Source organism: Homo sapiens, chromosome 4, assembly GCF_000001405.40.
Source record: "Homo sapiens chromosome 4, GRCh38.p14 Primary Assembly".
Lineage (NCBI taxonomy): Eukaryota > Metazoa > Chordata > Mammalia > Primates > Hominidae > Homo > Homo sapiens.
The window spans coordinates 173,926,352-173,953,131 of record NC_000004.12 but is presented as its reverse complement, the minus strand read 5'-3'; the positions used below and the strand labels follow the sequence as shown (position 1 = coordinate 173,953,131).

The window sequence follows — 26,780 nt, the reverse complement described above, 5'->3', positions numbered from 1 at the left end:
AGCAGCCCAAGAAAGCGTTGCATCAAGGTTTTCTTCTGCCTGATTGCATGGAGCCACCAAATTTGAGGTGGTCATGTTTCAGAGTGGCACAGGGCAGTCTAAAAGGCAATCTTTCTCCAAGAGTTTGAATGGGAAACAGGAAAAAGTACCTTTTCTCTGTGTCTTAATACCCGTAAGTGCTCTTGAGAGACCAGTTGGGAGACAAAATAAGTTAACTACATTTTTTCTTTATATCTAAGTTGTAGTGTCAATAAATTTGTGTAATCGTAGTGTGAGTAAATTTACTGCAATAGTAATATAATTGGTCTTTGGGTCTGAGTGCAGAAACACATTGGAGTTTTCCCGTAAAGGCCATCCTCATTCCCAGATAGATTCCATGTGGCTCACACATCCTCCTTGGTGGCAGTTTACCTCTTTATGCTGCTGCCCATGGCACTTATCTTCACTCAACCACTTGTCAGCCCTGATGGGGAGCTAATGTTACTCATCATCCCGTCTAGATCCCCTTGGTGAGTGACACTATCTTCATCTCAATCCCAGGTATAGGGACTGTGATTAGGAATGTCATGCCCAACCCTCAGGGCCAGTCCTATCGCAAAGATGTGTAGCTAGGGTGGATCTCCAGGCTCTCCTCTGCCCTTACAACTTGTTGTCAAAGTCCCAAAGTGCTTTCCAGTTGACTTTTTCCCCCCAGATTTTCAAGTCTGTTGGAAAAAGCTATCTCTTTCTTTCGGTTTTCTAATGCCCCTCACTCAAGGAACTTGTCACAACCTTTCCCAAGGCTGAGTCAGAGGACATTTGAGTGGTACCAAAAAAGCACTCACCTAACAGGGTAGTGCACTCTGCCTTCAACTCAATCAGCAGCCTAGGATAAAACTCAGACATCTCATTATTTCTTATTTCTAAATGAGCTTCCTGTCTATCTGAGATACTCCTGGAAAGCTCCTTCTGTCATCTTTTCAATCTTAATTCCTGCATTCCAGGGCCTGATCATTCCTTCCAAAACCCTCTTTGATCCTGTTCCTAGTGGGATCATTTAGCCCTCATGCAAGTTAGACTCCTGTTTCTGCCCACATGTTTTGAGCACGTGCTCTGTGCTAAGCATCATACTAGACATTTAGGATTTCATCTCTAACCTGAAGGACTTCATAGGTCCTAATGGGGGGCAAACACAGAACACTAAAACTCCCAAAGTAATTTATATTCCCACAAAGTTAATGTAAGAAACATACATGAATTCTTAATCCAGTGACCATAGAACATCCTTATGTTAATCTTGTTAAATCTGACAATATTTTCCCTTATAGAAATTGGAATTATTAACCCAAACGTCTCACTGGTTCTACTCAAACTGTCAACAATTTATCCAGCTTTTAAAAATTCTGAGCTAAAGTTTAAGTTAGTCATCTCGAAGCACACCTGCGATGTCTATATTCAGCCCATGTTCAGAACCACTGTGATGCGAAGGAATGATGAAATATGCATGGCATCTCTTGCCTCCTGGATTATCAACTAATGGTAGCATAGTCGACATAACAAAATTAATTTTACTTAAGGAATCAGAGGCAGCCAAAACTGAGATCTGAGAGGAGGTGAAAAATGAATGCTTTATCGGCTAAAGTACTCAGCAACAAACTCCCTTGCTTCTTAAGTACAGTGTCATCAAAGTAATGAATTGCTATTTTTTGGTGTTACATTGCATGCCTATCCATCCTGCCATAATTAAAAATTTCTGAGCAACCAAAGAGTTGTTTAATGGTCATCCCAATGCTTGTAAAATGAAACATACCCAATAAAGTGGATTTTTGAAAATCTCTCAAAAGACTAAATGTGACATGGATATCACATATAGGGGCTTAAAAGATAAAATCGTAGAGAATAATCTTTAATGATTAATGCACTTGAGTTTTCTTATGTTGTTTTTGATATTTAGATAATTTGATCTTTGTTAAATTTGATTATATTTTAAAATCGGGAGCTAAGATATTCACACTTATATCCTTAACCCTTAAAAAATGATTCATTTTGATATGTGATAGCATGAGCTGATTACTGGCTGTTGTGTACAATTATTATAAACTATAATTTTAAGACCCTATGCTTGGGAACTTTTAAATATTTGAGGTCTGAAATGCCCATGTAGAGCAAGAAATTAGCTTAACCAGCCTGTCATTGTAGCTAGAGAGCCAGCACATGACCAAGGCTCAGTCATTCAGATATATCCATGGAAGACTTAGATTTAAAAGAGAGTGAGATGACATAGTAGATATAGAAGCATCAAGTCAAAGACGAAACTTTGGGATATTATGCTTTATGATAGCCTTTGCTTTTGTGGACCTTTAGGGTGACTTCGAGGAAATACAGTGCATGGTAACTTTTTGGCTCCACTTCACTTCTTTAGGAAACTAGAATACCCAGCACATTTGTGTTTTTGATAGTTGTAAAAAATTCCTAAAGTAGGTTTCACAAATTAATATTTTATAATTTTATAAGAACTGAGAAAACATACTTTTTAAAAAACAAGTAGATGTTCCTTTGGGGTAATCTGTAAAGAATATGGGAAATGAGGCCGGGCGTGGTGGCTCACGCCTATATTCCCAGCACTTTGGGAGGCCGAGGCGGGCGGATCACGAGGTCAGGAGATCGAGACCATCCTGGATAACACGGTAAAACCCCGTCTCTACTAAAAATACAAAAAATTAGCTGGGCGTGGTGGCGGGTGCCTGTAGTCCCAGCTACTCTGGGGCTGAGGCAGGAGAATGGCGTGAACCTGGGAGGCGGAGCTTGCAGTGAGCCGAGATCGCGCCTGCGATGAACCTGGGCGATGGAGCGAGACTCCGTCTCAAAAACAAAAACAAAAACAAAAACAAAATAAGAATATGGGAAATGAGTGCAACTATGACTTAAATATACTTTTTAAACTTATTACCTTATAATAGCACATTCTAATTATTTCTTATCTGCTTACAGCCCTGGTTTTGCTGTAAGTTTAGGAATTGTTAGGTTTGTTCTTTGTTGTGTTTTAAACTAACAATTCCCCCAGAGAAAATATGAAGCGTTTATATTTTTAAAGTCAAGCTGTTCTCTTATAATGAAATGAGAAACACTTCATGTCAAGTTCCATTTTAATGCACACAATAACTACCATAAATATCAATTACCTTTAACTTTTAGGAATGTGTTTTCTGTGGAGCAATATAAGCTCTTCACCAGTCTCTGTTTTGCTGGATTGCTGCATGAACTAGTGCTTCCATTCTATGAATACAACACAGTGACTGCTGCTTGGCGGCCATTGAGGGTTCCCACCCCACCTACAAGCTTTTGCTCTAGGATCCCATGCACTCCCGTGGTCACTGCTTGAATCATCTTCAAATCGAGAGTCAATTGCATTTTTCTAAACTTATTTATGCCAGTTGTACTTGTTATTATACATATATAATTAGAAATTATATAAATCAATGAAATAGTGCAAAAAGATATTTTTTCTATGAAAAATAAAAGGAGTGCTTTGGAAAGAGTTAGTAAAGCAAGTCACTGAATTGACTGCTGTAGAATGTGATACAGGTGATATAACTTGAGAGGTTGGAAAAAACAAAATGTAGATAAATTTTTAAAATCATATTGTTTTGGAATTGTTTTTAAGTTTTGAATTCACTTAAAGAAGCACTTGGAATTGTAAATCGTGCTGTAAGTGTGTGATTTACACACACAAAAAAGGATGATTTAGACCCCCAATAAACATATTCATGAAAGGAAATCTTGGAATTGGATTAAATATTGGTAAAGGCATGAGCATTTATTATTTTCAAAATAACTAAAAATGCTTAATCTACATTTATATATTATTTTTTCTAGTAATTTCCTTTTTTAACTTACTCACTTATACAACCAAATACCAGTATCAATTTTATCAGATAAGATAGCTTCTCCTGTGTAATCAAATACATTGTAAAACTATTTCTTCAAATCAAACAATTATCACTGAACATTTCCCCTAGATCTCATACATCTAATGAGTCCTCAGGTTCTGTTTTCCCCCTTTATATGTGTACTATCACCTTGGGCCAGACTTCATCACCTCAAGCCTAAATTGTCCTAATTATCCTCCAAACTGTATAGTCAATTACAGTCCTTTTTGGTCCCATAAATATTTTTAAATACTGCCATCATTATGACTCTTTAGTGTTCATAAAATTCTGATATTATCTTCTTTGCTTATGTCATTAAGTCCAGACTCTCCAACTGGAATTTCAAGCCTAGTCAATCTGGTCATCCCTCTACTTGTCACTACTCTTCTATCAGAGCACATTGTTAGTGCTGGGGAGCTTCCCTGTCGTCACCTGAATGCACAGTACAGAGCTCCAACCCCAGGTTGGTGATAGCTTCTGCCTTCTTCTCATACATTGCTGCCCATCCTTGGGACCTGGTTTGATTGCCTTTCCTCCAAGAGGTTTTCCACAGATGCATACTGACCTAGTTTTCTTTACTCCTATTTGCCCCACTTATTTGGACAAACAACCACATTCTGGTTTACAGAGTGACATGATTATTGAGAGTATGAGTTGTGTGCCTTCTCTCTCCAACCAAATTATAAAATCTTTAAAAATGAGAATCCTATTTTTCATTATGCACAGTACATACTAAGCCCTTAATAAATCTAGATTTAAAAAATAATGATACTAAAAATAAGTAGCATGCTTAAAATATTCATAAAGTATTTCTATATTAGAAAAGCAGAATATTTAGTTGCTTCAATCTAGAAAAAAATCTCATCTCTTACACATATAATGAATGACCTTAGATAATTCCTTTGTTTCCTTATCCTTAACAACTTGTAACTCACTTACAGGCTTGTTGTAGGGATTAAGTAAAATAATCTAAATAAAGAATAATACCTGATAAGTAGTAGATTATTTAAAAAATTATTTCCATTCTTATCATTTATTCCTATTTATATACTTTGTTAAGTTTTGTTTAAATATAACTGTTTAATTGTAATTTATTCAAAACTCTAAACCTTTTCCAAAAATAATTTATATCAAATATTTTTGGAGGCAGGGTATCTCAAAGAAAGAAATGGTTAATTGGGTAAATATAGGCATTATTATATTTATCTGAAAACTTCAAGCAGTTCACACTCTTTTAAAAAAATGGGAAGCAGGTGATGAGTTGCTAAAGTGACTAGAGACTTCTAGCTGCGGGAAAGCCAGTACCTCAGCTGCAGGCTCTCCATGGCTCCCTAGGAAGAGTGAAGGGGTATGAACTCTTATGAAACTGCTTCAATAGCAGGTTTTAGAAGAGCGAAGACACAGATATAGTTTTCTATCTAAGATGTAAAGCTGCAAGGATGTACTTATTCAACTGTCATGTAGACCTGAAGTAACCTAGGTCAAAGGGTATTTTTTACAAAAGAAAGTTTCACTCGAGTTGATGAAAGATCTCTTTTCAAGCCTGCTGGAAATCAAGGTTACAGTAGGCTGTAATGCTGAGTAATTCAGAATTAATAACCAAAAATGTTAATTTGGGAGTTAGTATTTCTTTAAATCTTGCTTACTTATGTTACTCAACTCATGCCTTTCTCTTCTTTTCACATCCCATAAGGCTGATTGTTCAGTCCCAGAATTCCAAATTCAGGCACTATTTATCTCTCTAAAGTGCATCATAATTGTATAAAAAGAACGTGCAAGAAAATAAACATTTTAGTATAGTTTTTATTAACTCAAAGCAACTCTAATTATAAAACAAAATGATATAGCTATGTAAGAGTTTTTGGTAGGAGGGAAATAGAGTACTAACAAGTATGATGAGTATGTATATCACTCAAGAGAATAGATATTAAACATGGACTCTATATCCTTTCAGGTTTAGTGCCCCACCCAGTCTCTAAGATTTCTGAGAGGGCAGATACTTGCCTATCATTGTACTTTTAGAATTAGAGCTTAAAATGAACCTTGAGGCAATTAGAGGCTGTTAATAGGGCTGCAGACTCTCATCTCCTGAAGAGTTTGAGCCTAAGATGCTCATGTCTTCTGAAAGACACTTGAGCACAGACCTGACCCTCTCTGTGGATAAACCAGCAAAGCCCAAAATTTATTAAACTATACATCTTTGTCATGTGTAGTATTAAGATGACCTGATCTGAATGTTTGTTATTTCACATGAAATACATTTCATTTACACATAGAAATTGCATTCAAGGCTGTGTTGGAACAGAAATCTTCCTTCTAGCTGTGCTGAGTTTCATTCCTTAATATTAATAGCAAATAAATACATGCACTTACTATGTGCCAAGCACTTTTCTGAATGGCTTATTCCTGATTTGTAAGTCGGGAATAATAATAGTATCTATCTCAATCTTGTGAGATAAATTCCCGATTTACAAATGAGGAGAGAGAGATACACAAGCTTAGTAATTTATCCAAGGTCACACAGCTACTGTGTAGTGGAGGTGGGATTTAAACTCAATCTTCTAGCTGCAAATTGATGTTGTTGGCCTTTAAACTAAGAGAAAAAGCTTCCTGTGCTATATAAAAGATTTAAAATAAAGTGTCCTTCTGGAGAGCACAGAATCATGCTCAAGTATAGCTGCAGAACTGCTGGTCATACGTAACTGCAAAGAATAAGTGAATTGTGTGTTTAAGCTTCAGGTATATAATGAGTGTCCATGAATATACATGTGTGTGAGCATGTATGAGTGAGCATCTATTTGAACATATGCATGAGGAGTGTGTGACTGTACTCATGCATGCATGTGTCAATGTCTGTGTATGTGAATGCATACATGCATGCTTGAGCTGTACATATGTGTGAGTAAATGGCAGAGCCAGGATTTGAGACCAGATCTGTCTGATCCAAAGCATGTATTCTTATGCTATATTTTCTAAAACAAAAAAAGATAATAGCAACTGATATTTCTGGCTGACTTTAAGATTTATAGATTTCTTTTGTGTACATTGCTTCAGTTGAAGAAAGAAAATATGCACCACAGAATCTTCCATCCACAGTTCCCATAGTTTTCCCAGAAAGTGGAAGTGAAGAGGGCTGGGAATTGGGATAAGTTTTATGTGTATACCTAGGCCAAGAGGGTGAGAAGGGATGGAAAGGAACACATTACAGAGTTAATACTTTTAAGTATACCTCATCTTTTCATCAAAAAGTTTCAAAGCACATTATGGGTATTTCTATCCAATATTCTCATGCATCAGTGAAGTACGCAGCATTTCACTTATATTTTAAGGGAAATACATTGACATCAAGAGGGCATATACGATTCTCCAGAACAAAGCAGCGGGTGCAGGGTGCATCATGAAAATTCAGCCTTGAGGAAAATGGCTACTTCACTTGCCAGGAGACCCCAAGGCATCCTCTAAACAAGTCAGTAATTTGACCACTTTTGTCTAGAAATATCGTTGCACATCTGCACGCTTGACTTTTGATGCTAGCTGAGTTTCCTGTTGGTAGCTCATCTTCACCTATTACCAAGCTCCATAAATAGCTTCAAAAGATTCTCTTGGAAAGAATCAAAGGCAATTCCAGCTGAAGCTTTCCAAAGGAAACTTGAAGCAAACACTCTCGCCTCCTGGTAACTCTGACACATTAATTTCCCTCAGCCACCTCACTTAAAGTAGTAAGTCTGGCACCACTGTGGCGGGGAGTCCTAATCAGATACCAAACCAGCGCTGGCTGTGTCAGAAATGATGTCAGATGAACGGCAGTCCCCGGACCACTGCCTCATTTGGAGCAAACACTGAAACACTTGTGTTTTAGGCTACTTTATGACTTGCTTGAAAAATGACTTTGTTCACCATGGAAGGCCACTAATGTATGAGGTGTTACCCCAGGATTTTAGCACTTCTACTATGTGCACAGCATTCTTTTTATACGCAGAGCTACACAAACAGTGGAAGTATCATTGAACTACTTATATTATCAATGCCATATATCAGGGAGAAACTACATGGCAAAAGGTGGGTTAATACTTTCCTGTATATAAAATCCAGTAAGAAACCATTTTGCCAAAGGTAGAGGGAGAAAATGTATTCATTTTATACCATATGGTTTGGCTTATATAGGATTTACACATTTGGAGTTTCTTACTTATTTTTAATGGTGGTCTTTCACCTCAGGTACACGAATGTGGTTTTCACCTCTCTTCTTTGGGGACTGTGCCTGTCAGTGGCTTTATTGAACGGGGTCCTGGGAATTTGCTGGTCCGTCAGTTGGTGGATCCTCATTGCCTCCTATCTCCTGCCAATAAGCCTCTTTCCTCTGAGGAGCAGCCAGGAGCACTGCAATTTATCCTGTGACTAGGGCCGGGGGAGAGTGGCCTTTTTTCCTGACACTACTCTTGTTCTCACAATCAGTCACTGAGAACAGCAGTCCTCCTTTCCAAACTCTTTTTCTCCCCTGCACAGCTACTGGAAAATCAGGCTCAAGCCTGATCTCCTTCTGGAAATTATTTGGTAATAAGAAACAGGCCCAAGGCAGTGTTGTGAGGTGAGGCTGTGACCTTTCACCTTTAGAGACTTGGGTTCCAAGCCCATCCAGAGGTTGGTGGTCTCTGCCTAGTGCATAGCAGGTACCTTTTGATGCCACAGAACTGAATGACATTTGGGAGCAATATTACCTTGACCTCAAGAAGGCACAGGATTATGGGGAACGACTCATCATTTTCCTGCATCACCATGGTTTCAGATCTGTTGACTTTCTATTTTGACTTCAGTGACATCCACTTTTGTAGATAATAATTTGTAGAGGACCAGGTGCTGGTGGGGATAGCAGATCAACTTTTCTGTATGGGCCATGGTACTCTTGGATGCATGGTTTTCATTTAGAATATTTTTATATATTAAAATTAATTCATCCAGATTCTAATTCATACTTCATTGCAATTAGTCCAGATTCTAATTCATACTTTCTAATACGAATGTCATTCCTTTGATTCAGGCTTCCAAATCCTTATTTTGTCATTCTTTCAAATTAAAGCTCAGAAACTTGAACTGATACAAAATACAGTTGCTATAGTGATACTACGATATATATTTTTCCACTCTATTTACCTTCAAGGAAACATACAATATCAATTTTATTTATCACAGACCTAGATATATGTTGCTTGGTTTACTTTAGAAAGGAGTTCTTTCCATTATAGTAACTGAGAATGGCTTTATAGTATTACCACAGTTCCAAAATTAAACTCCAGACAATTGGAATACAAAGCCCCAGGTCTTTCTGACCCCTCAGGGTACCAGATCACAGAAGCTAATTATATGTCTAACTCACTTTGAGTGGCTCTGAGACTAGTGGGAGCCACATTGCTTGGGTTGAAATCACATCCCTGCCCCTAATTGTTTGTGTGATGCCAAGCCTGTTACTTCACCTCTAGGCATCGCAATTTTCTTATCTATAAAATGAGACTGATAACAGTATCCTTGTCACAGGGCTATTGTGGAGCAATCTATGCAAAGTGCTTAGGACTGTGTCTGTCACACAGAATAAGTGTTGTGTGTGATAAGGGTTTGTTACTATTTCATAAGAGAAAAGTAACAACAAACTTCCTCTAATTTGAAAAGTATTTTCAGAAGGCCACAAGACACTCTATTTGATAATGAAAAGTTCAGCACATAAAATGTAAAAAGGAAAGACTTATATGAATCTTTTTCAAAGGACAATGAGGTGGGAGCATGCACAGTTAGGCCAATTTCAGGACTACTGGCTTTCATGGACCTGACAGTACCCTAAAGCCAAAATTAAATGTAGAGAAGACAATAGACCACTGCCTCTTCTCCTTTCTAAATGAGGTCTCACCCTTTGATATCTTCTAATGCTGAGTGTGCTCATTTTTATTCTAAAATAATAGTTCACAAATTCCCAAGGGCTCAAATAGCACAAATTCTAGAAATGTACCTATTGAGGCTCAATTCATCAAAATAAGTAAGGCAGCAACAACAACAACAAAAAGACAGTTATGTGGAGATGTATGCACCTTGGACAGTGAATAGAACTTAGGAATTTCAGAAGATTCTAATTGTAGAGAAGTTTCCAGAGCTTTTGATTAGGGGATTGCACTGTTTTGAAAGACATCTAGAAAGAACAGAAATCTTTGCCTGCTAGGCCCAGGGATTTTCTGAAGACAACTGAGCTGAGAAATTCCTTCTTTGGTACAAAAGCCTTATCTCTCTGATCCTAACCATAGCATAGAACCACAAAGAAGTTCAGGCAGTAGGTGAAATGGAGTCTTTTCTCTGTGTCCCTCTGCTTTCTGCACCCTTGGGGCCTTTTCCAAGAGAATGAAGAACACACACGTAGCAACAAAGGAATGGGAGCTGTGCCCCATATGTTGCATTTCAGATTGTAGGCAATAAATCTGGATTTCAAATTGTTTTTATACAAATGGATTTGATTTATCCAAATTTTAGCTAAAAAGATACTTCAAACTTACACCTGGGAGCTGAGCACTGAATATGCCATTATAGAAACACTAGTGTAAGAAGAGCATATTCACAAATGATTTTTATAATTAAAAGTGAGAAAAAATAATTATATAATTAAAAACATCATTCCTTAAGCTATATTGCACTTACATTTTGAGATTGATGGATGAACACTGGTGTACATGGTTCCTGTTTCAGAAAACTGAAGTATTATTTTTTAAATAAAATTTGTAAAAACATAAGATGAAAACACTTGTGCATGCTATCCACACATTATGTAAAAATTTCAAGTTATTACAGAGGTAACAGATTGGCTTGCTAAACTTTGAAAGTTCTATTTGAAGGTTCTACAATGTCCAGCATTTTCAAACACTTTGGGAAATTTGAAAAAAAAAAAAAAAAGAGAGAATGATACTACGTGCCATGTTTATGCCCATGACTCAAGGGCAATATTTCTTAGAAAAATCAAATTTTGGTGGTCAGATTTCCCACTAATAAGAACCGGGGTTTCTTAGAGAAATGGCTGATAGTAGGTCAAGGAAATATATAAGATGAGGCTGGAAGAAACTAGAAATGTATTAAAAAGAAATTCAATCATGTCAAAGGGACATGGGAGACAACTTGAAGAGGATTCCACCAGCCTAAGATGGGAGAGTTTTAGTATAAAAACAAAACTGCAATCGATTAAAACACATCACATATATAAAACTCTATGCATTCATTAGGATAATTTTAAAACTCAAAACAAAAGACACTTTCAGCATCTTTGGGATTGGGGTTACTAGTACCATAACACATTATCTTGAGCATCAATAAATAAAGAAAAACAGTTGTGACTGTCTCAGATGATCTGTATTTCAGAGTAACTAAATAATTCATAAGGTACAATTCTTATTATAGAAAATTTCGGAAATGACAGAATTAGGGAATCATTATTTTGTGAACTCCAGTAAAATAATGGCTATGTGTAGCCATAGTCAATATATGCTAAAAAAATAATTAAGTGAAAGTGTGATGGGGATCATTATAATAGAGAATTGGGCTGACCTCATCTGACCCCACTGATCAATCTTAGCAATACTAAGAACACCAAGTACTCAACACCATGTTTGAATAAGTGAAGCTGAATGTAATCAAGCTTCTTGATCTAAGTACCAGTTTATAAGAAAAACCCCAAAACCAAAACCAATAGGAAGCAACTGGCCATACCCAGAACACAGGGAATTCTAATCTCTTTATCAAAACAATGATGCAAAGCCAGTAGGGTGAAAAAGGACTATTACAAAATAAAATAAACTTAATTGACTAACAACAAAGTGTATTGATCTTATATGAGTCCTTATTGGAACAAACTAGCTGTAGAAAGACACTTTTAAGACAATCAGGGTAGTTTGAATATAGATTGGAAATATGAATATAGATTATACTTAGCAACTGTTGGTTTTGTTGGCATGGGAGCATGGTGGTTAATAGAAAAAAGTTCGCAGCATTTAGAGTGTATGCTGAAAATATTTACAGGTGAAATGACACGTCTGGAATTTTTTTAATATTCCTGAAAAAATGTTGTTGGGAGGTGTCTAAGGATAAAATGGGATCACCACTGAAACTCAGTAAGGGGTAGAGAAGTACATTGTAGGATTGTCTGTATCATTGTTTACACTTGAATTTTTAAAAAATTGGTAGACAGGGTCACAGTGATGACCTCGAATGTCTTCATTCTGCGTCTCAGAATACATTTCACACATCTGGATACCCATAATATTAAAAAGCATACAAAATGGACCCATGAGTTTTCTAGAAAGATTTTCAGGTTATTTTTTTACAGCCACAGTGTAACACAATATTGGGTCATTATTAACTATTCTTGAGGTTTTATGCTTTTTTGGTACTAATTTATTAGGCAATTGTATGACTTAAGCTATACATATTTTAGGTATTTTATCACTAATATCTTTGGCAACAAATGAACACATATTCTGAACAGTTTCCTTTAAAAATAAAGTTGATGGAAAGAGCATTAAGCTCTTGGTGAGGCATTCTGGAGCAGCATATAAATCCATAATAACAAATTTCAAAATCTCTCTCCAAACTTTGGGGTCAGAAGCAGTGACATCCTTAGACAAAACTCAGGAGTGAGGCAGTAAGAACACAACCTCTCACTTCAGATTCACAGCTATGGGAGGAAGAATTGTTTGTTACATTTTCTACTAAAACGGCAGCTTCTAGAAGCACTGAGGTTCTCCTGGATGACAGCTGCACAAGCTTTTATCCAAGGAAGGGCTATCTCCAAGTACTAAACCCATTCTCGGAAAGACACAGTCTGTTAGTGAAACAGTCACAAGCTTGTCAACAGCAGTGACGTCTGGTGTCGGCACGTGGTACAATACTGATATCATTCATCATTTTGACACTTGTATTAGGATATATCTTTACTTGGCTGATTTATAACTCAAATCCTAAAAGTGAACAAATGTTTCACTGCAATTTCCTGGAGCTTAGTAGTATACACCTGAGACAAACTAAATATATCTCTATCTCACACAAACACAAAGAGAGAGGTAATATCATATAGTCCATTTAACATTATTTTCTATAAAGTCATAGACTCCATTTAGAATCTTGATTATTTGAATTCAGGAATTATACTATCATTATCCAGCTTTAGTTTATCCAAACAGCTAAAACACAAATCCTGCTTTGTTGTGAAGCACCAAAGCTATTCAAGAATAAGTGGAAACAAATGCATCTTTCACTTTATGCTGGGCTAGCTAACTCTCTTAAAAATATATAGGGTAATTTTTAACCTCCAGTTCACCCTGTGCCTTTGATAGCCTTTAATTTGGGCATACACTGTCAGACAGTGTGCGTTTTTTAAGAGTAGAGAAAGTCTCTGTGTCTGTGATGGGTCACTTTTTCTTTGTAATGTATGAGCTGAACCACCTGTTCAAAGTTCAAAGAGGGGTAACAAATAGAGGGAAGGACAGCTATCACCCCTATGAACCCCAAGAGAGTCAGGGGATGTCCACTGGGTACATGAACAGAGCTTGGATAATCTCTGGACTCCCATGGGGCTTTTGGCTGCTGGTGACAAACAGTTCCTGATTTCCTGCTCAGGCTGATCTCTGAGGTTCAATCCAGCTCCCATTTACCTGACACTCGCCCGACTCCCTTCCCAAGCCCAGGAGTCTGATAGTATGAAAAACCCTAACCCTCAAACCCTTGTTCTCTTTCATGCGGACCGAGGCTCAGTCTCCTGGTATTCTATATTGAAGTACTGAGTGACAGTCAAGCCAAGCCAAGTGGAGATGAGAACCTCACTATCTATGTACATTGAAGGCAAAGCTTGGGGGACAGTGAAACAATTGTTGTAATTATTACCTTAACATTTTATCCTACCATACATTTTATAAAAATAGAATACTTCCCACTCTAAAGTTTTTGTTGTCATAACTGCACCTTGTGAAGTAAATATCTGGTCCTCAGGTCCTCCAGCCATCCCAACTCAACCCCTGTCTTCAATCTTGGCAATCTATTGGGCTTGGCCATCCTGGATATATCCTAACCCATGAGGTTTTCAATAACCTTTCCCCCAGTTCTCTAAGAATGTACCAATCTTGCCTCCAGGAAAGTCTTATGAACAGCTGGTGAAATGCAGTACATTATTAATTTCATGAATGTGAATGTAGTAATGTAGAGCCACTAAACAAAATCAGTGACTTTGAATAAAGTTACTTTTACAGGTTTTTTTTTTTTTTAAGACACCTAACCTCAGAGGGCTATGGAGGTTAAATTTAATGCATGGAACATCATAAGTGTTGCTCAAATATAAAGTCAGCACCAAGTCTTTGCCTAATATGGGCAGAAGATACTCAGTAAATGTTTAAAAAAAAATGATACCATTTGGTTGAGCCTGTGTTTGGCCATGTTCCACACAAATGAACTATTGTCTTATTGTACATAAGGCCCATATATCTTGTTTCTCAGCACAATATTTTTAAGACATGGAAAACAATTTCAAAATAATTAAGGCCCTTTCTGATAAAGCCTCTTAACAGAGTACATGCAAAAATTATAAATCATACAGTGATTTAAGATATTGATTCATTATATGTACTGTTTGTATTGTTATTCATGTTATAACTAACATAAAGTTAGTCCATGCCAAATTACTTATGTGTTATTAAGTAGACGTGAATCCAGAAGACAACATTTATACCTAAGATAATGCCATGGGTAAGACATATCCTTGAATGAGGAAAAAGGAACTGTGTAACACGATTATCTAATTATACTAATACAAATGTAAGTAGATATAAAATAAATTTAAAATGAGGATGCTAATCTGAGATAACCTACTTACATAACTGCGAAAAAACACAAAAAAGTAAAAAGGAAGAAATACATTAGAAAAGGCACAGCAAGATTTAAAGAAAAGGGAAATCAAAAAACAACAACAAAAACAAAATGATGATCTTATTTCTTAAAACCATTGTTCAACCACCCATATATAAGCTCAAGAAACATATCTGATTGCTACATTTCAGTAAAGGTTGGATGTCCCTATCCTCTAATGATAGCACTATGCAGAGAATAATATTTTGTACACAGGACTTCCAGTGATGTCTCTTTTCCATGCTTAGTGCCAGGGATCGCATGCCAGTGTGGTGATGAGAAAACAAGTATAAATATTTTTATGTTGTGCTTTTAGTGGTTTTTTTAAATTGTGGTAAAAAAAAAGTGGGAACATAAATAAAGTGAAAATATTTTTATAGGGAAAATGAACTCTTTTATAGTCAATTGTACAGCAACAGGAAGCTTCAGAAGCTGAGGTTCCAGGAGCCCCAGTCCAGCTCCTGACCTATTTTTCTCAGCTGCCCAATGTGTAGAGTGAATACACTAAGGAATTTAAGAGCTTACAAACTGATTTTTATGGAAGTCATCAAGAGTGGAGAAGGCTGATTTAAAAATCAACCATGATTTTAAACAGGGGCTGAAAACTGTGGCTTACGAGGCAAGATTGCAAGTTTGTGAAAAGTTTGAGCCAAAGAAAGTATTCTTTATGAAGACAAGTAATTCGATTTAAAAGGAAAATTTAAATGAGGCATTAGGAACTGAACTGTGAATTCAATTAGGCTGTATATTGGACTTTCAAAAGAAGCAGTGAAAAACTCTATAGCTTTTATTGAGGCAAAGAAAGGACATGTGTTAAGGTAGATAATGACCTTATTCAACTATGTAATTGATTATATATATATATATATTTTTTTTAAAAACAGTAAATATGTATTCAGTATTTTATTCAGCAAATATTTATTGATTGCTGACTGTATTCCAGGCTTTAAGATACAAGATACTTCAATGAATAAAACAAAGACCTTTGCTTTCCTGAAACTTGAGATCAAATGGAGGACACACAAAAACAACGCACCTACAAATCACCATATTGTGTGTCAGGAGGTAAGAAGGGAAAAAGGGGTAGGAATGAGGGTGGATACGATTGCAGTTCAGGGAGGGTGTGCAAGGCAGACCTCATTAAGCAGGTGACAATTTGCACAAAAATGATGAAAGAGTTATGGGCAGAATGCTTTCAGGAGGAGGAGTGATGCAGACAGAAGGACCACAGTGGGAGGGGATGAAGATTTGCATTGCATGTGGAGGAAAGGCAAGGAAATCTGTGTGACTAGATTAGGGGGAGGGAGAGTGGGGAGAAGTAGGAGAAGTGATCTGAAAGGTTAATTAGGGAACAGATTGTCTGGGCCTTTGGGCCTAGAGGGAACTTGGGCATTAGTTGAATTCATTATATGCTCACCTAGACACAGAGCACACAGAACTGGAAAATAATACCCACCTGTAAGAAGTTCTCTGCTAGTGGATACAAACAACTAAAATGCAATGTAGAAAATGTTGAAGGAGTGCAGTGGGTGCTATAAGACCCTGTGAGGATGATGTTTTTTCCAGTTCTGCATATGGGAGGTAGAAGATTTCCACAAAGTGACACAATTTTGAAATCGAAGTAAAAATTCGGGCAGGGGAAGAAAGGAGAAGGGTTTTACAAATCCAGGAAGGAGCATGTGTACATTATTTGGTTAACAAACATTATTTGATGCTTAGCAAGTTCTAGGAACAGTTTTAGGCTTTGGAAATATAGTAGTGATCAAAACTGATATTTTAAATCTCGTTGCTTTTCTGGACAAGGGTAAAATCAATAAAGTATAAAGGCACCAAATAATCAAAGAATTTCAGGTGCTTTAGTGTGCCTTCTGTAAAAAGTGCCTGTGGGAAAGTGACAATGGAGGAGGCCAGATGGGTAAACAGTGGCCAATCCTAAAGGTCTAGTTTAGGAAGGTCCCAGCTTGCTAGGAAGTTTAGATTTTATCCTGAAGGAAGGTGGGTGGAGAGGAGGTCACAGAAGGATATTACTGAGGGGAAATACATAGTCAGTTTCTATGAGTTCACGTCAGATAACAAAAAGATTACACAGTTGAGAATAGAGGAGATAGACTCCCATTGTTTTCAAAAGATAGCTCCAAAGGCCTCTCCCTGGCCCCTACTTCTCTTCTTACGGTGTTTGGAAAGAAAACACTACTGGGAGAGAAGATATTAGCACATAACCTTACATATATAAGAAGCTTGGGAGTGTTTACACTGTTTATGATTCATTGCTATTCCCTTCTCCATGGGAACATTTCACTTGTGAAACACTCACATTCTTCCATTGTAAAATAAAGGCTTAAAAATAATACCCATCCATCCTTGTAAAACGACAAGCCAATTTAAACTTAGGGGGAAACAACTTGAAATAGGTTGGGGACCGAGGGCTTTCATTTACTGACTTGTGTTAGTTTACTAGATAAGGATACACTCCCTTGCTTTTATGTCAGCTAATCTCCCACTGACCCCCAGAGCTGCCCTGCAGCATCCATCACAGAAAACAGGGGCTTTTTTTTTTTTTTTGCTTTCTAATTGTATCCACTGACACTCTTTTTCTCCCTCAAGACAGATTTTTCTTCTTCATTTCTTTTTACTATCTGAAGTCAACGTATGTTGACAGAAAATTAATTTGTAGAAAGTTTTCTTTTTAGATAAGTTTGGGTAGGATGATGTATGCAATTTTCATATTAACACATTTTTAGGTATGTAATTTTTTTAAAAGATTCAAGCATCCCTGTCATTATATGCATCACACCCAGCTTTGTGTTTCCAAAAGGGTAGCATAGTTACATGCAGGTGATGTCAAGAACTAACCATGGAATAGAGCCCACAAGCTGGTTTATAGCCTCACAGTTTATGAAGCCAGATGGGAGTGTTTTAAAGCAGCATCCATCGCTAAGCTAACCTTCTGCAAGAGGTGAAATAAAGTTCTTTTTAAAAGTCGCCAAAGAATCTGCCTCACTTAAGAAACCTGTGGCATCTGAGGTGATAACAGAACCAAGTCATTTCAGGCTGGCTGAAAACTTAGCGACAGATAAAACATAAATCAGAGCCCTTATCATTCCCTTCCCTGCTTGCCAAATGGGGAGTTAGTTTATCAGCGACCTATGGGCTCACTGCCTGCTTTCCCCCTTAGTGCTGGGCAGCAGGGTAGAGCTGGCTGGAAGCTATATGGCTGTTCTAAAACGTGTTCATGTAAACAAGCTAGGCTAAGACTTCCTTGAACTGCCAGTGAGTGAAGTGTCATCCATCTCACTAAACTGTACATTGGATAGGGGCATATCATCTATATCTTGAAAAGAAAACAAATAAAAGGAAAAAAAAAAGTTCCCTGGTTTAGGCTGAGACCTGTCATGTTGATAAAAGTCCTAAGAATTAAATTGCCTGGCTCAAACAATGGCTGTTCCTTCAAAAGAGGTTAGGGATTGAGATGGGGAAGAAGAATTGTTTTTTAGGACACTTGGAAATATCACTCAGATCTTCCAAAAAAAGCGTGTAGTAGTTATTTTAATTTTTACCAGGTAGTATACTAGGTATACTAGTTGGAGTGCTTTCCTAATATTTAAAGGAACAGTTCCAATAACTTGTTGGAAAGTCCTTTAAAAATATATTATTTTTCGTCTTTTTATAATAGCTTGCTTGCAGCATAAATGTGGTTTTCTAGACATGGATGTAAACCTCACAACACCATCCAACATTGATACTCTGACTAGCAAAGTAATTTATTGATACCTGGAAAGAATTAGGCATTTTCTATACAGACACCAGTATTTTTGTTGTTGTTGTTTTCAAAAAACAATATCAAGATCCTGAGTGACTCACTCTGGGCTCATCATCAGTGAGGCTATAAGGCCCTCCCCTCATTTGGAAGAGTACATATGCATGTTTTCTGACATAGTGAGGGCAACTCTACTCAGAAGAAAAATACGCAACCTTTATAAAAGGCCAAATAGTTATGCGTTGGCACTGAAATTAAAGGAATACATCCAGCCAAAGGTAGACTCAATGGCTGAAAATTAACTATTTTTCTCATTTTTAGAAGTATTTTCAGGTGAAGTTGATAGTTTAGGAAGAAGAAACAATAGATTCCTTACAGGAAAGCCTCGTTAAAATTGCTTTTCCTTGGTAATGGAGTCAGTGTAAGCCCAAATACATTCTGATAAGTGATAAACTCTATTATAAATTCCTTATGTGGCAGAAACTCAACATGCATATGGATGTGCCTTATTTTGGCTACACCTGGTTATTATACCAAGTTTTGTGTGAGTATGGCTTCCTCACTCAAGACTGGCTCATAGCCACTGAAAGCTCAGATGTTTCCATTTAAAAATTGATGTGTGGTTATAAATATAGAGAAAATACACCTGTGATCCACCGAAGACCTCAGCATATAAATTAACTAGGCTTTATAAAAATGGAGGCCAGAAACCTTTGTCTAAAAAAGCCCAAAGTCTTCCACTCAAGAAGTTACCTTGGATGTAGATCAGACAAAGCATCATGTGCTATAAACTAGGCTTTTAACTTGATCAGGAACTTTTATTTAGGTAGAATTTTTAGAAAGAGATTTGTGGTTCCATTTGGTTTTCTCATACTGACCTATGTAGTGACTATTCCTTTACTTACTAATATAAAGCCATGCTCTCTGAGGAAGTTACCTTGCAAGAGATTTTAAAACATCGATATTTTTAGAGAAGTTATTGATAATTTACCAAGGCATAAAATTGTTCTAACACTACATCTCATTGGTAAAATTTCCAAACTTTATTATACCCATGTGCAGCATTTGCTTATCAACGTTTTGCAATATAAATGCACTGGACCAGAACTGGAGAGGCTGGGCTTTCTGCCACACTTCAGCTGCCTTCTCTACCTCAGCTGTGGAAATGCGGACATTTGGTTTTTTTTTCAATTGTGAGTGAACATATATTCACTCATCAAATGTTTTTGAATGGCTACTATATCCTATAGTGCACATACACATTTAGTTATATAACATGTATGATATAGTTACATGCGTACAAGGGTGTGTTATAATAAAAAGGTAATTTTTACTGTTATAAATAAAGACACTGTTTCAGCTTGTAAGGTGCTTCCATTCAATTTCCAGGTATAAGATTTTGATAAGCTTTTAAGTGCAAATTTTGTAAGAGAATGTTGAGATATCATAAAGTAATAAATTTTAAGATGAATTTTATTAACACCTAAGGAGAGAAATTAAAGATGGCTCTGACTGAGGCTCAGTGTGTTTGAAAGGGCTGGTAATCTAGTCCCGTCTCATCACCAACTTTCAGAGGCACTCAAAGTATCTGAATAAGTGCTGATATGGCATAGCTATCTTAAATTGGCTTCTCCAATCTTATGCTTATCTAGGACTTCAGAGGAGGCCTTGCCTTATTATCATTGCCCTCCAGGAAAAGAAGAGTCACAACCTGTATCAAGTGTTAAACAACCCTGACTCTTAAGAAATCATTTAAGTTAACCTCCAGCCTTCATGCTGCAATCTTAACCTGTCTCATATGTCCCCAGGAGATATTTATTAAATTTCGCCTTGTTGTTTTTTCCTTCAATCTGAATAATGCCAGTTCCTGTCTTTCTAAAATTAATCCTTCATTTTTTCAAGTGTACTATTGAGGTTATTATATTTATTTTCCATTTGATATTGTAAAAACACTAGCTCTTTGATTAAGAGCCTGTTTGGCTTAGAGGATTAGAATAGGTCAGAAATGTTTCTCCTCTGGGTTACTGGATCACATCTGGTCCAGGTCAGTGGTGATACCGATGTAAGTGACTCTTCTCATTGGTCTATACAAACACTGTCCAATAGAAATATGATATGAGCTATACACATAATTTTAAACGTCCTAGTAGCCACATTGAAAAGAGTGAAAAGAAACAGATGAAATTAATTTTAATAACATATTTCATTTAACTCAGTATACTCCAAAATTGGTATTTCACCATGTAATCAACAAAAAATTATTAATGAGTTTACATTCTTTTTTTAAAGTCAGTCTTTGAAATTTAGTGTGTATTTCATCTTTGCAGTGCATGTCAATTTATACTAGTCACATTTCAAGTGCTCAGTAGCCTCGTGTGGCTAGTGGACTGCACCGTTCCACACAGGTCTGCAGGAGACGGTTTGAGCGAGCCTTGCTCAAACACAGACATCTTGCTCACCAAGCTTCATAGGCTCAGTGGGTATGAAAACTGAAATTCATTTTTCCTGTTGGAGGTGGTCATTGTTTCCAGTGTCTGTGCTATTTATTGCAAGTTTGAAGAGTGGTCATTAGAGTCAGTTTTTTAAAAAACTATTTATTACTGAGGAGATGCATGTATACAATTTACCATCTTTACCATTTTAAGTGTACAGTTCATGGTAATAAATACATTTATATTCTTTTTTCTCCTTCGTCTTCTTTCCCCCTACACTTCCTGGCCTCTGGTAACTACCATTCTAGTTTTTGTCTTCTAAGATCCACTGTTTTTGCTCCCACATATGAGTGGGAACATGCAATATTTGTCCCTCTGGGCTTGGCTTATTTCACTTAACATAATGGCCTCCAGTTCCATCCACGTTGCTGAAAAAGTCAATGGATGCAGCACACCAACATGGCACATGTATACATATGTAACAGAACTGCACGTTATGCACATGTACCCTAGAACTTAAAGTATAATAAATAAATAAATAAATAAAATAAAATAAAATAAAACAAAATAAAATAAAATTACCTACTACTCCTTAACAAAGAGAGACCTTAAGTGTGCCCTTTGTCTATATACCCTTTACCATGGCTCTGTTTTCAGAGTCAATCAGTTAGTGGAACAATATTTCTTAGGGCTAGGCAGGGTTAAAGCATAAGGAATGAGCCATGGGTGGCAGAGTCCCGGTCCTCCGGGTGAAATTACTTCTCACAAGTTTTGTCCTGTGAGGGGCTAACAGAGATCTTTCAGACTGGCATAGTACTTCTTGAGTATTAAAATTTAAAAAACAAAAGCTTCAGTCATTTTCTTTTTGCACTATAACATTCGATTTGACAAGTTTTCTGGGAAATAAAATCTTCCTGGCAAACAAGTGAATCCAATTGTTCCTTTTTATAAATACCTTGTAAGTGACTGTGCAAAATGATGCTATTTATTTCATCTTGTCTTCAGTACCATATCATATCTGATTTCTTTCCTTCTTAAAAGTAATAGGAAAGGGGAAAATGCCAGAAAGCCAAAGAATAATAGAAATAAAAATCATGAATCTGTAAAATTTCAGGTATTCTGTGGGCAGGAGTATCCTATTTACAGACAGAAGCCCGCTAAGAATGGGCAGAATAGTCTCCTGCTTAACCAAGTGAGGCACGTTGTTCTGATCTCAGCTGAAAGTTAAGACTGAATTCTCATTAAATGTTCTACCAGCTTCTAATGAAAAAGAGTGCTCAGAACTTCCCTTGGCACACCATGCTCTTTTCCTCCATCAGCTGACTTTAATGTTCTCTTTTCTTTTAGCCCTTCAAGTTTCTGTGACCTTAATATGACATTTTAGTTGAGTGATTAATTGCGATTAAATGGCACTGCGCTGATTAAACGAAGGCCTTGTTGGCATAATAGTCAGTTACAATGCTGCAATTCAGTGTGATAAGCTTAAACATACACAATTAGAGGTAGTAATATCTAATTTGTCAAAGCTCTTGTGGCTTAATTTTCTGCTACAAAGCTTGAAAGCAATAGTGACTGGACAAAAAGCTCCAGATTTACTGCTTAAGTACCTTCCAGTAAATTGATCTTGTCCCTCATGTAATCTCATTTTGTACATTTTGGGAGACAGTGAAGCTCAGCTAGCCTGAAACCTCCTTAAAAATGGGCCTGAGGGTTCCTGATCACAAAACTTGAAAGCTAAGCGACGCGATATGAATGTCTCTTCAGAGGCAGACAACAACCAATTTGCCTGGCCAGAGCTTTCCTTTTAGGATAATTAGATAAAATGAATAAATGTCAGTAAAAGGATGAAAGATTCATGTAGGAAAATAAAAATATATACCAGATCCTGAAAACATCATACTGAGACAGGCCGCAGCTCTATCCTGTGAAAAATAAAACAGGAGCAACTGACACTTCTTTTAAACTAGCTGTTACAATCGTAATTATCTTATCCTAACAATAGTCACTTTTCCTGTCATATGTTTTAAAGACAATCTATTTGAAAAAGAGAGAGAAGACACTTTTCTAGTGCAATCTGTGAAAAAACAATTACCCTTTCATTTGGTAAACAGGAAAGGAGTAAATGTGAGCATTTTCTGCTAACTAAATATGAAAGACGTCTGTTTTAGCTAAATAAATACAGAGTATGGCTTATAGTCAGTGAATATCTCACAAACATTTATGGGATTACTAAGGGCCTATTATATATAACATATTTCCCTAGATATCAGGGAGAAAAAAATTAATAAGATGATAGTTTCTGTTCTGAAGCCCCTAGTGGAATCTATACACTTATGCCTATAGTTATTATGTTAGACAAAAAAGTATGTTCTGTGAAAGAAGTACAAAGGAAGAGATTAATATTACCTGGAACAGCATAGAAGGCATAGGGTCAGCTCAGGAGGAGAGGCAAAATTGGTAAGAGCTACTTAAGTAGATAATATTTGAGCAAACCTTAGATGGAAAATATAATTTCTACCCGTGGATAAGAGACATTACAGGGAGAGAAAAGGGCATGAATAATACCTGATGTTGTCAAGGCACAAGGTAGAATTATTTCATACCTGAGGTAATGTTTTATTAAATCATTTACACAAATTTCCTTACTTTGATATCCATTTATGATGGCCTTATTCATTAGGGTATAGACCAAGAGATTCTCAAAAGCACAGTTGCTTAAACAAGAGGGAAGTTTCCTTCTCTCACAGAGAGGCCCATTGTGAGCTGGCAGTCCAGGCCACGTAGGTGTCTATGCTCCACAAGGTTGTTCAGGGACCCAGGCTTCTTCTGTCCTATTGTTCTTCTAGCCTCTAGGTTACCCTCATCCATAGGAATCACATCTGCATTCCTGTAACTGCATAAGGAGAAAGAAGGTGGAAGGTAAGAAGTTTTCCTTCTAAGGAAATGTTGCACACATAACCCAGCAGCAAGCATCTAGCTGGGGGGATAGTGTCCCATAGAAAGTTCAAAGAGTTCTATTACTAATAAGAAGGAGAAATTGCATATGTGGGATAATTAAGCAGCTTCTGATATAGTAGGTGCTTAATCAATGTTCATTGCTGAAATAATGAATGAATAATTAAGTGAACAATTAACAATGTTTCTACATTCCATCCAAATACAATCTAATATGGTCATCAGTAACCTCTCAGTTCCTTTTGTGAATCAAAGAAATTGAAGATGATTAGTTGTGCCAGATGCCTCAGTGGAGGGAGCTCTGTGTGTGTGTGTGTGTGTGTGTGTGTGTGTGTGTGTGTTTGGAGGTGGAGGGTGAAGAGAAAGGTGAAAGACTGAACTGCTAGATAAAGACTTGGATGTCATGGTAATAGCAGCTTCTCTTAGGAAGTATGATGTCTTCTTAATCAGGGAAACAATTTCTCAACTAGAATACAGGAAATAGTTTCTACTATTTGGGACCCTGGAGTGACACTAACTGTACAATTTCTCCCTGGAAGCCATGCCTTCTCTTCATCTTCAGGGACTCCATGTTCATTTCATGCCTTTGATCCAGCTGTTAGGAAATGGGCTCTCCCTTCGGAGGAAGCACGAGGTGCCACCTGTCTCCAGGTCTCCACATCTTCATTCTTTACTTGTATCGATATAATATTTTCATTAGAAAAAATTGTCTATGGTTTTGGAAGGATGTTTCTAGACTTTCAAACTGGATTCTAATTATATTATTTTATATCTATTTCCAAAAAGAAACCTCATGTCAAAAATAAAATACATATATACGTATATAACTTAAAGCTTACAAAATTATAGTAAGTACAAATTCCTTAAATACAAGGACTTGTTTGCACCTCTCATAAGTATTCTGATATAGAACTCAAAGTAGGTAGAATTGAATAAATGTGGATTGAATTTAATGGAGCACATAATTTCAATGTCATGGATTTGTGGTCATAAATTACCACATGTGAACTGTTCATATAGTGTGATTAATCAATGAATAACTATGAGCCAAAGAAAATAGGTAAAGTATACAAGTCTAGAAGTAACCATAGATGTAGAGATAATTTTAAAAACAAACTAAGAACGTTGTCTTTTTATAAGTTAAGTCATTTCTTTTTCTTTCTTTTTTTTAGTGATAGGATCGCATTCTGTCACCCAGTCTGGAGTGCAATGGCATGACCTTGGCTCACTGCAGCCTCGATCTCCCAGCCTCAATCAATCCTTTCACCTCAGCCTCCTGAGTAGCTTGAACTACAGGTACACACCCCCTTTTTTTTTTTTTTCAGAGATAGAGGTCTCACTATTGTTGCCCAGGCTGGTCTTGAACTTCTGGGCTCAAGCGATCCTTCTGCCTCTGTCTCACAAAGTACTAGGATTATAGGCATGTGCCACCATGCCTGGCTAATTTTTTTTATTTTGATATTTTAGAGATGGGGTCTTGCTATATTGCCCAGGCTGGCCTCAAACTCCTGGCCTCAAACAATCCTTCTGCCTCAGCCTCACAAAGTTCTGAGATTACAGGTGTGAGCCACTGCAACTGGCTTTCCTTTTTTAGATTAAAAAATAAGTACAGAAAGAAGTTCAAATATTATTGTCCTCCAATGGATTGTTTTGTGCATTGCACTTTGGAGACCACAGTAGTAGAGAACTGGGATTAAAATAACTATTCAAAGAAACTTGAGTCATGTTTATTTCAAGGAACCAAGGAATCATGGTGGTGAAGTTTTTTTTTTAATTTTTAATTGCTATGGATACATAATAGTTGTGTATGTGATATTTTGAAACAAGCATACAATGTGTAAGGGTAATTGGGATATCCATCACCTCAAGCATTTATCATTTATTTGTGTTAGGAAGAATCCAATTCTACACTTTTAGTTATTTTGAAAAATTCAGGCAGGTCGCGGTGGCTCACGCCTGTAATCCCAGCACTTTGGGAGGTTGAGGCGGGCAGATCACTTAAGGTCAGGAGTTCAAGACCACCCTGGCCAACATGGTGAAACCCTGTCTCTATTAAAAATACAAAAATTAGTCGGGCATGGTGGTGCATGCCTGCAATCCTAGCTACTTGGGAGGCTGAGGCAGGAGAATTTCTTGAACCCGGGAGGCAGAGGTAGCAGAATTGCTTGAACCCGGGAGGCAGAGGTAGCAGTGAGCCGAGATTGTGCCACCACACTCCAGCCTGGGCAACAGAGTGAGACTCTGTAATAAATAAATAAATAAATAAATAAAAATAATTTAAAAATCTGTAAGTTTTTCCTAATTATAGTCACCCTGTGGTGCTATTGAACACTACCTCTTATTCCTTCTATCTAACTGTATTTTTGTACTCATTAACTATGCCTTTTTATCCCTCCTCCCCACTGCCCTTCCCAATTTTCACTGTAATAAGCACTCTACTTTAGGCCAAGAAACAATGACCACAGCAGCAAAACATTGGTTTCAGAAAGAGTTTTCATCGGAACCCTTGGTTCAAGTCCTAGAACTCACAGGTCAGATTAAAAACATAAAGTGACTAGAGAAAAATATAAAAGATTAAATAATCCAGTAGTGCAAATAATCACAAACTGTGGGTTGTGAATGAAGAGTTAATTTGGAGTTACTGAATGAAAGGTATCATTTAAAAAGAATATTAACCAAGGCCAGTAACGTTTTGGCTTGGAGAGATACTTCCTTTTGGGAAACAAAAACAGCACGCGTGTTAATAGAGGGCAAGAAGGCAGGATAATAAAGAGATTATTTTTTTTATGTGATTAATATCTTTCACCTATA

General features: G+C 36.9%; 2 long non-coding RNA genes across 5 annotated transcripts in view; one reads left to right on the top strand and one right to left on the bottom strand.

The window, feature by feature from the left end:
• Nucleotides 1-26,780, top strand: part of LOC105377543 (uncharacterized) — a 66,783-nt gene that overhangs the window by 37,835 nt on the left and 2,168 nt on the right. For 2 of the 4 annotated variants that reach the window (NR_188467.1, NR_188466.1), the window contains one exon: nucleotides 15,769-15,890. This is a non-coding gene — a long non-coding RNA (uncharacterized LOC105377543). Of the gene's footprint in view, nucleotides 1-15,261; nucleotides 15,644-15,768; nucleotides 15,891-23,860; nucleotides 23,934-26,780 lie in introns of those variants that run through there. The other 2 variants (NR_188468.1, NR_188469.1) reach the window with 2 other exon arrangements.
• LINC02269 (long intergenic non-protein coding RNA 2269) overlaps nucleotides 23,607-26,780 on the bottom strand; it is a 32,253-nt gene continuing 29,079 nt past the window's right edge. Inside the window, exons 2-3 of the long non-coding RNA NR_146487.1 lie at nucleotides 24,488-24,637; nucleotides 23,607-23,907 (exon numbers count right to left, since the gene is read on the bottom strand). This is a non-coding gene — a long non-coding RNA (long intergenic non-protein coding RNA 2269). The remainder of the gene's footprint in view (nucleotides 23,908-24,487; nucleotides 24,638-26,780) is intronic.